General features: G+C 50.7%; 1 protein-coding gene and 1 non-coding gene across 10 annotated transcripts in view; one reads left to right on the top strand and one right to left on the bottom strand.

Moving 5' to 3' along the window:
- The window catches only part of ZER1 (zyg-11 related cell cycle regulator), a 42,701-nt gene that overhangs the window by 21,393 nt on the left and 7,079 nt on the right, over positions 1-14,229 (top strand). For 4 of the 9 annotated variants that reach the window (XM_017014188.2, NM_001375958.1, NM_001375957.1 and 1 more), the window contains exons 8-13: positions 305-472; positions 8,349-8,564; positions 9,253-9,294; positions 9,440-9,559; positions 10,207-10,322; positions 10,975-11,163. In XM_017014188.2, the coding sequence (XP_016869677.1) occupies positions 305-472; positions 8,349-8,564; positions 9,253-9,294; positions 9,440-9,559; positions 10,207-10,322; positions 10,975-11,163 (851 nt within the window). Of the gene's footprint in view, positions 1-304; positions 479-8,348; positions 8,565-9,252; positions 9,295-9,439; positions 9,560-10,206; positions 10,323-10,974; positions 11,164-14,229 lie in introns of all 9 variants that reach the window. The other 5 variants (NM_001375956.1, NM_001375954.1, NM_006336.4 and 2 more) reach the window with 2 other exon arrangements.
- Positions 1,633-1,736, bottom strand: LOC124902340 (small nucleolar RNA U13). The gene has a single exon (XR_007061916.1). It is a non-coding gene; the product is annotated as a small nucleolar RNA U13 (small nucleolar RNA).

The following is a 14,229-nucleotide window of genomic DNA, read 5'->3' as shown; positions in this document are numbered from 1 at the left end:
CCTGTCCCTCCCCACCTGGAGGTTGCCGGGCTTGGCTGAGCCGTGTCCCCAGAGCCTGTGTCCTTCTGCACCCTGTCCCCAGGGCCCCAGGACCCGAACCCCAGCCTGGGCCTCACAGCACTTGACTTGCTTCAGCACTGGCCTTGTTTGGTCCCCACCCTGGTGTCTGCTCCCCAGGCCCCACTTCTGCCTTTAGAGAGCAAGACCAGGCTAAACCTTGCCCCAGAGAGCCTGTTCCAGCCCCTTGCAGAGCCCAGGCCTCTCCCTGCACTTGCCAGCCCAGGTCCCCCTTGTCTTCATACAGCTGGTCATCACGGCCCTCAAGTGCCACAAATATGACAGGAACATTCAAGTGACAGGCAGCGCCGCTCTCTTCTACCTAACAAATTCCGAGTACCGCTCAGAGCAGAGTGTGAAGCTGCGCCGGCAGGTTATCCAGGTGGTGCTGAATGGCATGGAATCCTACCAGGAGGTGACGGTGAGCCCCCACCCGCCACGGCCCCGCATGCTCTGGCCCAGCCACCCCTTTCCTGCTTCTTGCGTCCCGCTAGGGCTCCCCCGGCTCTGGGCTGCATCTGTCCCAGCTCCCTTTCCCACAGCAGCACTCCCTGACTCTTGGGACCTGGCCCTTCCCACAGTCCATCACTCCTGGCTGCCCTCCATCCTCCTCCCTGCCCCATGTGGGGGTGGGGGCCCAGGGACCCTGCCCTTCTCCCTGCCTGTGCCGTCTCCTCAGCCCTTCTGCCCATACACTCTGCTGGGGGATTTCTTACCAACAGCTGCTTTTAATATAAAAGTAATAAAAGCCTTTATTATAGAAAAGTTATAATTACAGATATACAGAAAATAAAAATCACCCATAAACCCACTACCCAGAGACAGGCACCATTAACATGGGATATCAATTGTGAATTTTAGCCTATGCACACATATTTTGTAAATGGGATACACAAACTGCATACTGTTTGTATATGGTGGATTTTTACTTCAACTGTGTTGTCACATGAATATGAACATCTCCCTTATCCGCCAACAATTTTTTTCTTTTTTGAGATGGAGTTTCACTCTTATTGCCCAGGCTGGAGTGCAATGGCACAATCTCGGGTCACTGCAACTTCCACCTCCCGGGTTCAAGTGATTCTCCTGTCTCAGCCTCCCGAGTAGCTGGGATTACAGGCATGCGCCACCATGCCCGGCTAATTTTGTATTTTTAGTAAAGATGGGATTTTACCATATTGGTCAGGCTGGTCTCGAACTCCTGACCTCAGGTGATCCACCTGCCTCAGCCTCCCAAAGTGCTGGGATTACAGATGTGAGCCACTGCGCCTGGCCAGCCAACAAATTTTTTTTTCAGATGGAGTCTTGCTCTGTTGCCCAAGCTGGAGAGCAGTGGCGGGTTCAAGTGATTCTCCTGCCTCAGCCTCCCAAGTAGCTGGGACTACAGGTGCATGCCACCACACCTGCCTAATTTATGTATTTTTAGTAGAGACGGGGTTTTGCCATGTTGGTCAGTCTGGTGTTGAACTCCTGACCTCAGGTGATCCACCTGCCTCAGCCTCCCAAAGTGCTGGGATTACAAGCATGTGCCACCACACCCAGCCAACATATTTATATAACAAAAACTTTTTTTCATTTCAGATGGGCAATATGCCAACGTCCTAACATGGTTTGAGGGAGGCACATTTCACACATGAGCATGAAGACCTAATCATCACTCTTATAAACTACGAAAGGATCAAACAATAATTTTTATTTATTTATTTTTTCGAGATGGAGTCTTACTCTGTCGCCCAGGCTGGAGTGCAGTGCACAATCTTGGCTCACTGCAATCTCTGCCTCCTGAGTTCAAGTGATCCTCCTGCCTCAGCCCCCCTAGTGGCTGGGACTACAGGCACGTGCCACCATGCCAGGCTAATATTTGTATTTTTAGTAGAGACAGGGTTTCGCCATGTTGGCCAGGCTGGTCTCGAACTCCTGAGCTCAGGTGATCCACCTGCCTCGGCCTCCCAAAGTGCTGGGATTACAGGCGTGAGCCACCGTGCTCAGCCACAATATATATATATATATTTTAATTAAGACAGGGTCTCAGGCTGGGCGTGGTGGCTCACGCCTGTAATCCCAGCACTTTGGGAGGCTGAGGCAGGCAGATCATGAGGTCAGGAGTTTGAGACCAGCCTGGCCAACATGGCGAAACCCCATCTCTACTAAAAAATACAAAAATTAGCTGGCCACGGTGGCTCACACCTGTAATCCCAGCACTTTGGGAGGCTGAGGCAGGCGGATCACCTGAAGTCAGGAGTTCGAGACCAGCCTGGCCAACGTGGTGAAACCCTGTCTCTACTAAAAATACACAAATTAGCTGGGCATGGTGGCAGGCGCCTGTAGTCCCAGCTACCTGGGAGGCTGAGGCAGGAGAATTGCTGGAACCCAGGAGGTAGAGGTTGCAGTGAGCTGAGATCAAGCCACCGAACTCCAGCCTGGGTGACAGAGGGAGACTCTGTCACAAAGAAAAACAAAAACAAATACACAGGGTCTCACTTTGTTGCCAAGGCTGGAGTATAGCGGCATGATCACAGCTCACTGTGGCCTCCACCTCTCAGGCTCAAGCAAGCCTCCCAACTCAGCCTCCCCAGTAGCTGGGACAACAAGGCATGTACCACCACACCCAACTAATTTTTTTTTTTTTTTTTTTGAGACAGAGTCTCGCTCTGTCACCCAGGCTGGAGTTAAGTGGCACGATCTCGGCTCACTGCAAGCTCCACCTCCCAGGTTCACGCTATTCTGCCTCAGCCTCCCGAGTAGCTGGGACTACAGGCGCCCGCCACCCTGCCACGCTAAGTTTTTGTATTTTTAGTGGAGACGGGGTTTCACTGTGTTAGCCAGGATGGTCTCAATCTCCTGACCTCATGATCCGCCTGCGTCGGCCTCCCAAAGTGCTGGGATTATAGGCATGAGCCACCATGCCCGGCCCACAGTCAGCTAATTTGTATTTGTGTGTGTCTGTGTGTATGTGGTGACGGGGTCTCGCTGTGTTGCCCTTGCTATCCCCTAGCTCAAGTGATCCTCCTGCCTTGGTTTCCCAAAGTGCTGGGATTATAAGCATGAGCCATTGCACTAGGCCCAAAAATTGTTTAATAATGTTTCTTTTCTGATTACAAAAGATATCTAATGCTTAAGCCAGGTGTGGTGGCCCTCACCTGTAATCTCAGCACTTTGGAGGGCCGAGGAAGGCAGATCACTTAAGATCAGGAGTTCCAGACCAGCCTGGCCAACATGGTGAAACCCTATCTCTACTAAAACTACAAAAATTAGCCGGGCATACTGGCGGGTGCCTGTAGTCCCAGCTACTCCACTCCGGAGGCTAAGGCAGGAGAATTGCTTAAACTCGGGAGGTGGAGATTTCAGTGAGCTGAGATCGTGCCACTGCACTCCAGTCTGGGTGACGAAGCAAGACTCTGTGTCAAAACAAAACCAAAAACAAAAAAAAGATACCTAAATGCTTAAAAGATGAAAAAATTCAAGTGATACAAGAATGTATTAAATAGAGCGAAAGCCACTTACAATCTCACCTCTCCTCCTCTAGATGCAGCTGGTGTTAAGGCTCACTTTCATGACTGCTGACACCAGCATATGTTCAGTGTCCTCATCCAGGGAGAGGCCACTGTGTGGAGGACTCTGCTGGAGCTTGGAGGGAGTGGCCAAGGTCAAGGCTCTGCCCAGTGTGTGAAACAGCCCCCAGGGCCAAATAATTTAGGTTGCTGTTTCATCTTTTGCTCTCTCAAGCAATGCTTTGTTAATTATACTTAATTAGTTATCCTTATAATACATTTCTGTAAGTAGAGTTGTAGAATTTCAGGGGCAGTATGTGTGTGTGTATATTTTTTCTTTTCTTTTTTTTTGAGACAGAGTCTCTGTTGCTCAGGCTGGAGTGTAGTGGTGTGATCTCGGCTCACTACAACCTCTACCTCCCAGGTTCAAGCGATTCTCCTGCCTCAGTGTCCTGAGTAGCTGGGACTACAGGAGCATGCCACCACGCCTGGCTAATTTTTGTATTTTTAATAGAGACAAGATTTCACCATGTTGGCCAGGCTGGTCTGGAACTCCTCCTAGCCTCAAGTGACCTGCCCACCTGCCCCTTCTCTACAAAAAAATTTTTTTAGGCCGGCGCAGTGGCTCATGCCTATAATCCCAGCACTTTGGGAGGCCAAGGTGGGTGGATCACCTGAGGTCAGGAATTCAAGACCAGCCTGGCCAACATGGTGAAACCCGGTCTCTACTTAAAATACAAAAATTAGCTGAGTGTGCCGGTGGGCACCTGTAATCCCAGCTACTCAGGAGGCTGAGGCAGGAGAATCTCTTGAACCCAGGAGGCAGAGGTTGCAGTGAGCCGAGATGGTACCATTGCACTCCAACCTGGGTGACGAGAGTGAAACTCTGTCTCAAAAAAAAAAAATTTTTTTTTAATTAGCTGGGTGTGGTGCTATGCGTCTGTAGCCCCAGCTACTCGGAGGCCGAGGTGGGATGATTGCTTGAGCCTGGGAAGTGGAGGCTGCAGTCAGTGAACTAAGATTCTACCACTGCACTCTAGCCTGGGCAACAGAGGAGACCCTGTCTTAAAAAAAAAAAAAAAAAAAAGGAAAAGAAGAGAGAAAAAGAAGACTAGTTGGAGACTCCCAAATGAATTAATAAATCTGTCACAGAAATGGAAATCAAAATAAGAGGAAGTCACATTTCATCTCAAGAGCTTGGTGATACCCAGTGTTGCAAAGATAGGGAAGAGCACCCTCACACCCTGTCTACTGGTAAGGGATGAATCGTGCAACCTTTGTGAAGGGCAACCAGCAGAACCTGCCAAAATTCTAAATGCATCTATCTTTTGACCTAGCCATTCTGCAATTAGAACTGTTCTTAGAGGAAAAAGATATATCCTCACTTGTAAAATTTTTTTGAAAAAGGCCGGGCACAGTGGCTCATGCCTGTAATCCTCACACTTTGGGAGGCTGAGGCAGATGGATCACTTGAGGCAAGGAGTTCTGGACCATCCTGGCCAACATGGCGAAACTCCATCTCTACCAAAAATACAAAAATTAGCCGGGCGTGGTGGTGTGTGCCTGTAATCCCAGCTACTAGGGAGGCTGAGGCAGGAGGATTGCTTGAACCCAGAAGGTAGAGGTTGCAGTGAACCAAGATGGTGCCAGTGCACTCCAGCCTGGGTGACAAAGTGAGACTCTGTCTCAAAAAATAAATAAATAAAATAAAATTTAAACTGAAAAAAAGGCGGGGTGTGATGGCACATACCCAGAAATCCCAGCCACCTTGGAAGCTGAGGTGTGAAAAATTTCTTGAGCCCAGGAGTTCGAGGCTGCAGTGAGCTATGATGGCACCACTGTACTCCAGGCTGGGCAACAGAGAGACCGCGTCTTAAAAATAAATAAAAGGCCAGGCAAGGTGGCTCACACCTATAATCCCAGCACTTTGGGAGGCTGAGGCGGGTGGATCATCTGAGGTCAGGAGTTCAAGACCAGCCTGGCCAACATGGTGAAACCCTGTCTCTACTAAAATACAAAAATTAGCCAGGCATGATGGTGGGTGCCTGTAATCCCAGCTACTTGGGAGGCTGAGACGGGAGAATCGCTTGCACTGGAAGGTGGTTGCAGCGAGCCAGGATCATGCCACTGCACTCCAGCCTGGGTGATAAGAGTAAATGAGACTCCATCTCAAAAAAAAAATTTTTTTTTAATTGGCCAGATGTGGTGATGTGCGCCTGTAGTCCCAGCTACTCAGGAGGCTGAAGTAGGAGGATTGCTTCAGCCCAGGATTTTGAGGCTGCAATGAGCTATGGTCCAGCCTGGGCAACAGAATCAGACACTGTCTCAAAAAAAAAAAAAAAAAAACCCAAACAAATCAATAAGCAAATAAACCTGCAGACAGTACAAAGAAAACTGAGGATGTAGAGCAACTGGAGAGCTCCTACACTGCTGGTAGGAGTGTAAACTGCTAAAGCCACTGCGGAAAACAGTCTAGTGTTACCTAAAAAGGTTGAAGACATGTACATCTTGTGACCCAGAAGTCATACCAGGCATGTGTGCCCTAAAGAAACCCATGCTTATGGTCACCAGGATGCAGGTATAATACATGGCTCACAGTAGCCAACTCTTAGAGTCACCCAGACATCCATCAGCAGTAGAATGGATGAAAAAATTGGGGTGTCATGATGGAATACTATACTGTAATGAAAAATGAATGCATTTCAGCTACGTATAACAACAGTTAATCTTGCAAACCTATAGAATATCTCTATAAAAAGCGGGGGCCAGCCAGGCATGGTGGCTCATGCCTGTAATCCCAGCACTTTGGGAGGCTGAGGCAGGTGGATCACCTGAGGTCAGGAGTTCCAGACCAGCCTGGCCAACATGACGAAACCCTGTCTCTACTAAAAATACAAAAATTAGCCAGGCATGGTGGCTGGAGCCTGTAATCGCAGCTACTTGGGAGGCTGAGGCAGAAGAATCACTTGAACCTGGGAGGCAGAGGTTGCAGTGAGCTGAGATCACGCCATTGCATTCCAGCCTTGGCAACAAGAGTGAAACTCCATCCAAAAAAAAAAAAAGGCCCTGCACGGTGGCTCACATCTGTAATCCCAGCACTTTGGGAGGCTGAGGCTGGTGGATCATGAGATCAAGACCATCTTGGCCAACATGGTAAAACCCTGTCTCTACTAAAAATACAAAAAAATTAGCTGGGCATGGTAGCACGCACCTATAATCCCAGCTACTTGGGAGGCTGAGGCAGGAGAATCGCTTGGACCCGCGAGGCAGAGGTTGCAGTGAGCCACTGCAAGATTGCACCACTGGACTCCAGCTTGGCAACAGAGCGAGACTCCATCTCAAAACAAAATGCTGGGCACAGTGGCTCATGCCTGTAATCCCAGCACTTTGGGAGGCCGAGGTGGGTGGATCACGAGGTCAGAAGTTCAAGACCATCCTGGCCAAGACGGTGAAACCCCATCTCTACTAAAAATACAAAAAATTAGCTGGGCGTGGTGGCAGTTGCCTGTAATCCTAGCTACTCAGGAGGCTGAGGTAGAAAATTGCTTGAACGCCACAGGCAGGGGTTGCAGTGAGCTGAGATCACGCCACTGCACTCCACCCTGGGCGACAGAGTGAGACTCCATCTCAAAAAAAAAAAAAAAAAAAAAAAGCAGGGGCCATTGGAGGCGCCTGTAATCCCAGCTACTAGGGAGGCTGAGGTGGGAGGATCACTTGAGCCCGGGAGGGGGAGGTTGCAGTGAGCTGACATTGTGCCTCCACACTCCAGCCTGGGTGACAGAGTGAGACCCTGTCTCAAAAACTAAATAAAATTAAAGAAAGCAGGGGCCAGGTGCAGTTGCTCATGCCTAGAATCCCAGAACTCTGGGAGGCTGAGGTAGGAGGATCTCTTGAACCCAGGAAGTAGAGGCCAGCCTGGACAACATAGTGAGACCCCATCTCTACAAAAAACAAAATAGCTGCGCATATGGTGGCACACAGCTGTAGTACCAGCTACTCAGGATGCTGAGGAGGGAGGATCACTTGAGCCCCAGAGGTTGATGCTGCAGTGAGCCATGATGGTGCCACTGTGCTCCAGCCTGAGTAGCAGAGCAAGACCCTGTCTCAAAAAAAATAAATAAATAAAAGAAGGCTGGGCGCAGTGGCTCACACCTGTAATCCCAACACTTTGGGAGGCCAAGGCAGGCAGATCACTTGAGGCTAGGAGTACAAGACCAGCCTGGCCAACATGGGGAAACCCCATCTCTACTAAAAATACAAAAATTAGCCGGGCATGGTGGCACGCCTGTAATCCCAGCTACTCAGGAGGCTGAGGCAGGAGAATTGTTTGAACCAGGGAGGTGAAGGTTGCAGTGAGCCGAGATAGGTCCACTGCACTCCAGCCTGGGCGACAGAGCAGCACTCCATCTCAAAAAAAAAAAAGAAAGAAAAAGAAAAGCAGAGATATTGTAGTGGTTCTCTCTAGGGGGGTCGAAGGGCTAAGGGTCTTATGATCAGGAAGGGACAGTGGGGACTTCGGGGTGCTGACAGTGTTCTGTTTCTTGACCCAGGTGGTGGTTACATTGAGTTCACTTTATGTCATTTATAAAACTATACATTTGTGTTTTATGCATTCTTCTGTATGAATATTTCACATTTTTAAAAAACATTTTTTAGAGAAGACTTGTATAGCCTCCTCTTCCAGAAAACCGGGCTGGACTGCCACAACTCTGGATGAGCTCATACCTCTAGATAGTTCCTAGAGCCCTGCTCCTGAGTCTGACCCTGAATGTGCCCCACTTGTGTCCTGTCCCGGCCCAGGTGCAGCGGAACTGCTGCCTGACGCTCTGCAACTTCAGCATCCCCGAGGAGCTGGAATTCCAGTACCGCCGGGTCAACGAGCTCCTGCTCAGCATCCTCAACCCCACGCGGCAGGACGAGTCTATCCAGCGGATCGCCGTGCACCTGTGCAATGCCCTGGTCTGCCAGGTAGACAACGACCACAAGGAGGCCGTGGGCAAGATGGGCTTTGTCGTGGTACGTGTGGGGGGCGCTGCCCCCTTCCTCCTGAGCCTCACTGCTCTCCCCCACCCCTCTACCCTGAGCGAGAGTCTCAGAGCAGGGCCTGGGGCTGGGAGTCGGAGAGGGAGAGTGTGCTGAAGCATGAGGGATTTAGGCTAGACCAAAGGAAGAATTTCTTAATGCTGAATGTTGCTGATGCCCTCATAGATTTCTTCCACCTAGAGCATGCTGTCATCCTGTCCCAGTCCCTGCGCTCATCCTGCTTTCATAAGCTCTGTAGGGAAAGATGCCATGCTGTCCTTCCGTCATTGTGTCCCCAGCACTTCTTGGCATGGGCCCTGGAGGCCAGTGGGGAGATGATAAATATCACTGGTGAAAGGAAGGAAAGAATGACAAAGGAGCTCAAGAGCTTCTGGTCTCATTTGATGGCAGCGAAGCTCAAGCCCCAGCGGGAAGGGCTGTGCCCAAAGTCACAGGGGAGTCACCCGAGGGCCAGGAACGGCACCCGGGCCTGCTAATGCCAATACCAAGGGGCTGAGGCGTGGATGCCTTCAAATAGCCTCCCCCAAATATAGGGAGACTTGATCTCGTCAAGACTCCTGAACTAGCCATGGCGTTGCTGAGCCTCCCCTCCATCTTGGGTTCGTGGGGGTGGGAGTTCTTCAGCCCCAGCACTCTAGCAGACTCTTGTCCCTGCCTGCAGACCATGCTGAAGCTGATTCAGAAGAAGCTGCTGGACAAGACAGTAAGTCAAGTCTTCACGAAGCCACGCTACCCTTTCCCCACCTCGCAAGGGGCCTGGGCTGCCCCTGGGGGAGGTCTGTGTTTTGTCAGGGGCCCCCCTCCCCGGGTACCAGGAGCCTTGGCTGAGCCCTGCCCTGCCCTCACAGTGTGACCAGGTCATGGAGTTCTCCTGGAGTGCCCTGTGGAACATCACAGATGAAACTCCTGACAACTGCGAGATGTTCCTCAATTTCAACGGCATGAAGCTCTTCCTGGACTGCCTGAAGGTAGTGTCCACCTCCTGCAGCAGCAGCTGCCTCAGCTGCCCACATGGCCCCTCTTCTGTCCCTAGGCTCCCCACCAACCAAATCCGCAGCACCCCTCACCCATGCTTCCTGGAGAAGGGCAGTGGGGACAGACTCAGGCCCACCCACCCAGGATTTGCTGCTGACAGAAGCTCCAGACCCAGATGGCCTGGTGGGGCCTCCTGAGAGCCCCCACTCCCAGGGAAAGCCCCTCCCTGTCTCCTCGGCCGTTGTTCTCAGGCTGCCCACAGCTGGCCAGAGCCCACTACGCTACGAGCTGGACAGCGGGTCTGTTCATCCTTAAACACATGCTCTGTTTTCCTGCTTTAATTTCTAGGAGGGTCCCTTAAACTAGTATTTTGAGCTTTGGTGAACAGAACCACGTCTGTCCCATAGGTCAGATCTCTAATCAACCTTTGTCTTTGTGGCAAGCAATCCCACCCCTTTAATTCCTTAGTGTGTGTACCCAGCACTGACCTAGGAGCATTGGAGGGTAGGAGGGCAGCATATATGCCCCCTCTTTGTCTAGTTGGCATGGCCAGATGCCCATGAAGCTTTTTGGTTAACAATACCAGATACTAAGTCATTAAGTACTAATTGATGCGGCCCATTGGCTCTCCTTTTCCCAGGAATTCCCAGAGAAGCAGGAACTGCATAGGAATATGCTAGGACTTTTGGGGAATGTGGCAGAAGTGAAGGAGCTGAGGCCTCAACTAATGACTTCCCAGTTCATCAGCGTCTTCAGGTTGGTATTTTTAATCCTTTCCCTTTTTGCCTTAGCTGCCACAATGCTCAGAGCTCTAGCGTTTGCTCAGTTGCACAACTGCTCTTAGCCTAGGTTTGCTATAAATGTCATTTTCCCTCGATAATGTGGTTTCTTATTCATTCAATCCTTCGTAAGTGGTCCTTTTGTAATTATATCTTTTTTTTTTTTTTTGAGATGGAGTCTTGCTCTGTCACCCAGGCTGAAGTGCAGTGGCACAATCTAGGCTCACTGCAAGCTCTGCCTCCCGGGTTCACGCCATTCTCCTGCCTCAGCCTCCCGAGTAGCTGAGACTACAGGCGCCTGCCACCACGCCCAGCTAATTTTTTTGTATTTTTAGTAGAGATGGGGTTTCACCATGTTAGCCAGGATGGTCTCGATCTCCGGACCTCGTGATCCACCTGCCTTGACCTCCCAAAGTGCTGGGATTACAGGCGTGAGCCACTGCGCCCAGCCTGTAATTATATCTTAAATGACCTCAAATCCCTTTAGAAGTAGTCTGGGTATATAGACGATATGGGATAAAGAAATAAGTAGCACCTCTTGCTTCTGGTTTTAAGTTGGGGTCCTGCCGCTGGTATCTGAAGAGAAACTGGGGGAGTGGGACTCCATTTTTCTGTCTTTCTCCTGGCAGCAACCTGTTGGAGAGCAAGGCCGATGGGATCGAGGTTTCCTACAATGCCTGCGGCGTCCTCTCCCACATCATGTTTGATGGACCCGAGGCCTGGGGCGTCTGTGAGCCCCAGCGTGAGGAGGTGGAGGAACGCATGTGGGCTGCCATCCAGAGCTGGGACATAAACTCTCGGAGAAACATCAATTACAGGTGTGGGCAGGGCAGGGAGCGGGGATGCGGTGTGGAATATGGGGTAAGTGCTGGGCAGGATGCTCATACCATTAAGGTCTGCTCAGAGCTCCCACCTTCCTTCTGGTCTTCTGTAGGGTTCTGCTTTCACTCATTGATACGTAGCCGCACACAGCACAGAGCATACATAAGGGCACGATCTCATCCGTGCAGCCTGGAGCATTTGTCATACATGCCAACATCTGCATGTACCCAAAGCCTGCTCTTTGCAAACCACTAATACCTACTGATTTGTGGGGAGGGGTGGGGAGAAAATAGACACACAACAGAAAACCATACAGGTGGGCCGGGCACAGTAGCTCTTGCCCATAATCCCAGCACTTTGGGAAGCTGAGACAGGAGGATCACTTGAGCCCAAGATTTCCTTTCTTTTCTTTTTTTTTTTTTTTTGAGACAGAGTCTTGCTCTGTCGCCCAGGCTGGAGTGCAGTGGTGCAATCTCAGCTGACTGCAAGCTCTGCCTCCTGGGTTCACGCCATTTTCCTGCCTCAGCCTCAGAGTAGCTGGGATTACAGGCACCCGCCACCACGCCCGGTTAATTTTTTTGTATTTTTAGTAGAGACGAGTTTTCACCGTGTTAGCCAGGATAGTTTCGATCTCCTGACCTCGTGATCCGCCCACGTCGGCCTCCCAAAGTGCTGGGATTACAGGCATGAGCCACTGCGTCCAGCTGAGCCCAAGATTTCAAGACCAGCTTGGGCAACATAGTGAGACTTCCTCTTTACGAAAAATTTTAAAAATCAGGCCAGGTGCAGTGGTTCACGCCTGTAATCATAGCACTTTAGGAGGCTGAGGCGGGCAGATCACGAGGTCAGGAGTTCAAGACCAGCCTGCCCAACATGGTGAAACCCCGTCCCTACTAAAAATACAAAAATTAACCTGGCGTGGTGGCACATACCTGTAATCCCAGCTACTCAGGAGGCTGAGGCAGGAGAATCGCTTGAACCCAGGAGGCAGAGGTTGCAGTGAACCGAGATGGCGCCACTGCATTCCAGCCTGGGCAACAGACCAAGACTCCATCTCAAAAAAAAAAAAAAAAAAAAATGAGCTGGGTGTGATGGTGCACACCTGTAGTCCCACCTACTGGGGAGGCTGAGGCAGGAGGGTCACTTGAGCCCAGGAGGTCGAGGCTGTAGTGAGCCAACATCATGCTACTGCACTCCAGCCTAGGGGACAGAATGAGACCATTTCTTTAAAAAAAAGAAGAAGGTCAGGCGCGGTGGCTCACACCCGTAATCCCAGCACTTTGGGAGGCAGAGGCGGGCGGATCATGAGGTCAGGAAATCGAGACCATCTTGGCTAACGCAGTGAAACCCCACCTCTACTAAAAATACAAAAAATTAGCCGGGCGTGGTGGCATGCGCCTGTAGTCCCAGCTACTCGGGAGGCTGAGGCAGGAGAATGGTGTGAACCTGGGAGGCGGAGCTTGCAGTTAGCCGAGATCGCGCCACTGCACTCCAGCCTGGGCGACAGAGCGAGACTCCGTCTCAAAAATAAATAAATAAAAATAAAAATAAAAATAAATTAAAAAAACAAGAAAACAAAACAGGGCCGGGCACAGTGGCTCACACCTGTAATCCCAGCACTTTGGGAGGCAGAGGCGGGCAGATCATGAGGTCAGGAAATCGAGACCATCTTGGCTAACGCAGTGAAACCCCACCTCTACTAAAAATACAAAAAATTAGCCGGGCGTGGTGGCATGCGCCTGTAGTCCCAGCTACTCGGGAGGCTGAGGCAGGAGAATGGCGTGAACCTGGGAGGCGGAGCTTGCAGTTAGCCAAGATCGCGCCACTGCACTCCAGCCTGGGCGACAGAGCGAGACTCCGTCTCAAAAATAAATAAATAAAAATAAAAATAAAAATGAATAAAAAAAACAAGAAAACAAAACAGGGCCGGGCACAGTGGCTCACACCTGTAATCCCAGCACTTTGGGAGGCTGAGGCAGGCGGATCACCTGAGGTCAGGAGTTCGAAACCAGCCTGGCCAACACAGTGAAACCCCATCTCTGCTAAAAATACAAAAATTAGCCAGGCATGGTGGTGGGCACCTGTAATCCCAGCTACTTGGGAGGCTGAGGCAGGAGAATCACTTGAACCTGGAAGGCAGAGGTTGCAGTGAGCCAAGAACTCGCCACTGCACTCCAGCCTGGGCAACAGAGTGATACTCCATCTCAAAAAAAAAAGAAGAAGAAGAAAACAAGAATCGTTCATAATCTCACTCCCTGAAAGAGAACTCCTGTTGACATTTTGGTGTGTCTCCTTCCAGCAGTGTTTCTATGCACAGATTTCATTACTTTAAGTCAAGCTGGCATCAATTCCTACTGTTTTGTGACTGACTGGCCAATCACCAGGCATGGATCTCCCTCGTCATTTTAGGACGGAGTCACTTTCTTTGTGCCATCCTGTACAGATGGACATTTCAGTTGAAAACCCATACTGGGAGGAACAGGCTGACATTGGTAGCGTTGCCAGTGTGCCAAGTACTATAGTTCTTGGGGAGAAAGGAAGCGGAATCGCTGGCCCAGGAGTTTTGCACACACGTGTTTCAGGCTTTTGGACCATGACTCCAGGCTGGCCCACAGAAGGCCCTCGTCAGAAGAGCAGTCACAGGCCGGATGCGGTGGCTCACACCTAGAATCCCAGCCACTTTGGGAGGCCAAGGCAGGAAGATCACTTGAGCTCAGGAGTTTGAAACCAGCCTGGGCAATATAGTGAGCCCTCACCTCTACAAAAAAAAAAATTTTTTTTTTGAGACGGAGTCTCGCACTGTCACCCAGGCTGGAGTGCAATGGTGTGATCTTGGCTCACTGCAACCCCCGTCTCCCAGGTTCAAGCGATTCTCCTGTCTCAGCCTCCCGAGTAGCTGGGATTACAGGTGCACGTTACCATGCTCAACTAATTTTTTGTACTTTAGTGGAGACGGGGTTTCACTGTGTTGCCCAGGTTGGTCTCAAACTCCTGAGCTCAGGCAATCCACCCCCCTCAGCCTCCCAAAGTGCTAGGATTACAGGTGTGAGCCATTGCACCTG

The sequence above is a fragment of the Homo sapiens genome, chromosome 9 (assembly GCF_000001405.40).
Source record: "Homo sapiens chromosome 9, GRCh38.p14 Primary Assembly".
NCBI classification, from domain to species: Eukaryota; Metazoa; Chordata; class Mammalia; order Primates; family Hominidae; genus Homo; species Homo sapiens.
This window is presented reverse-complemented; position numbering and strand designations above follow the sequence as displayed.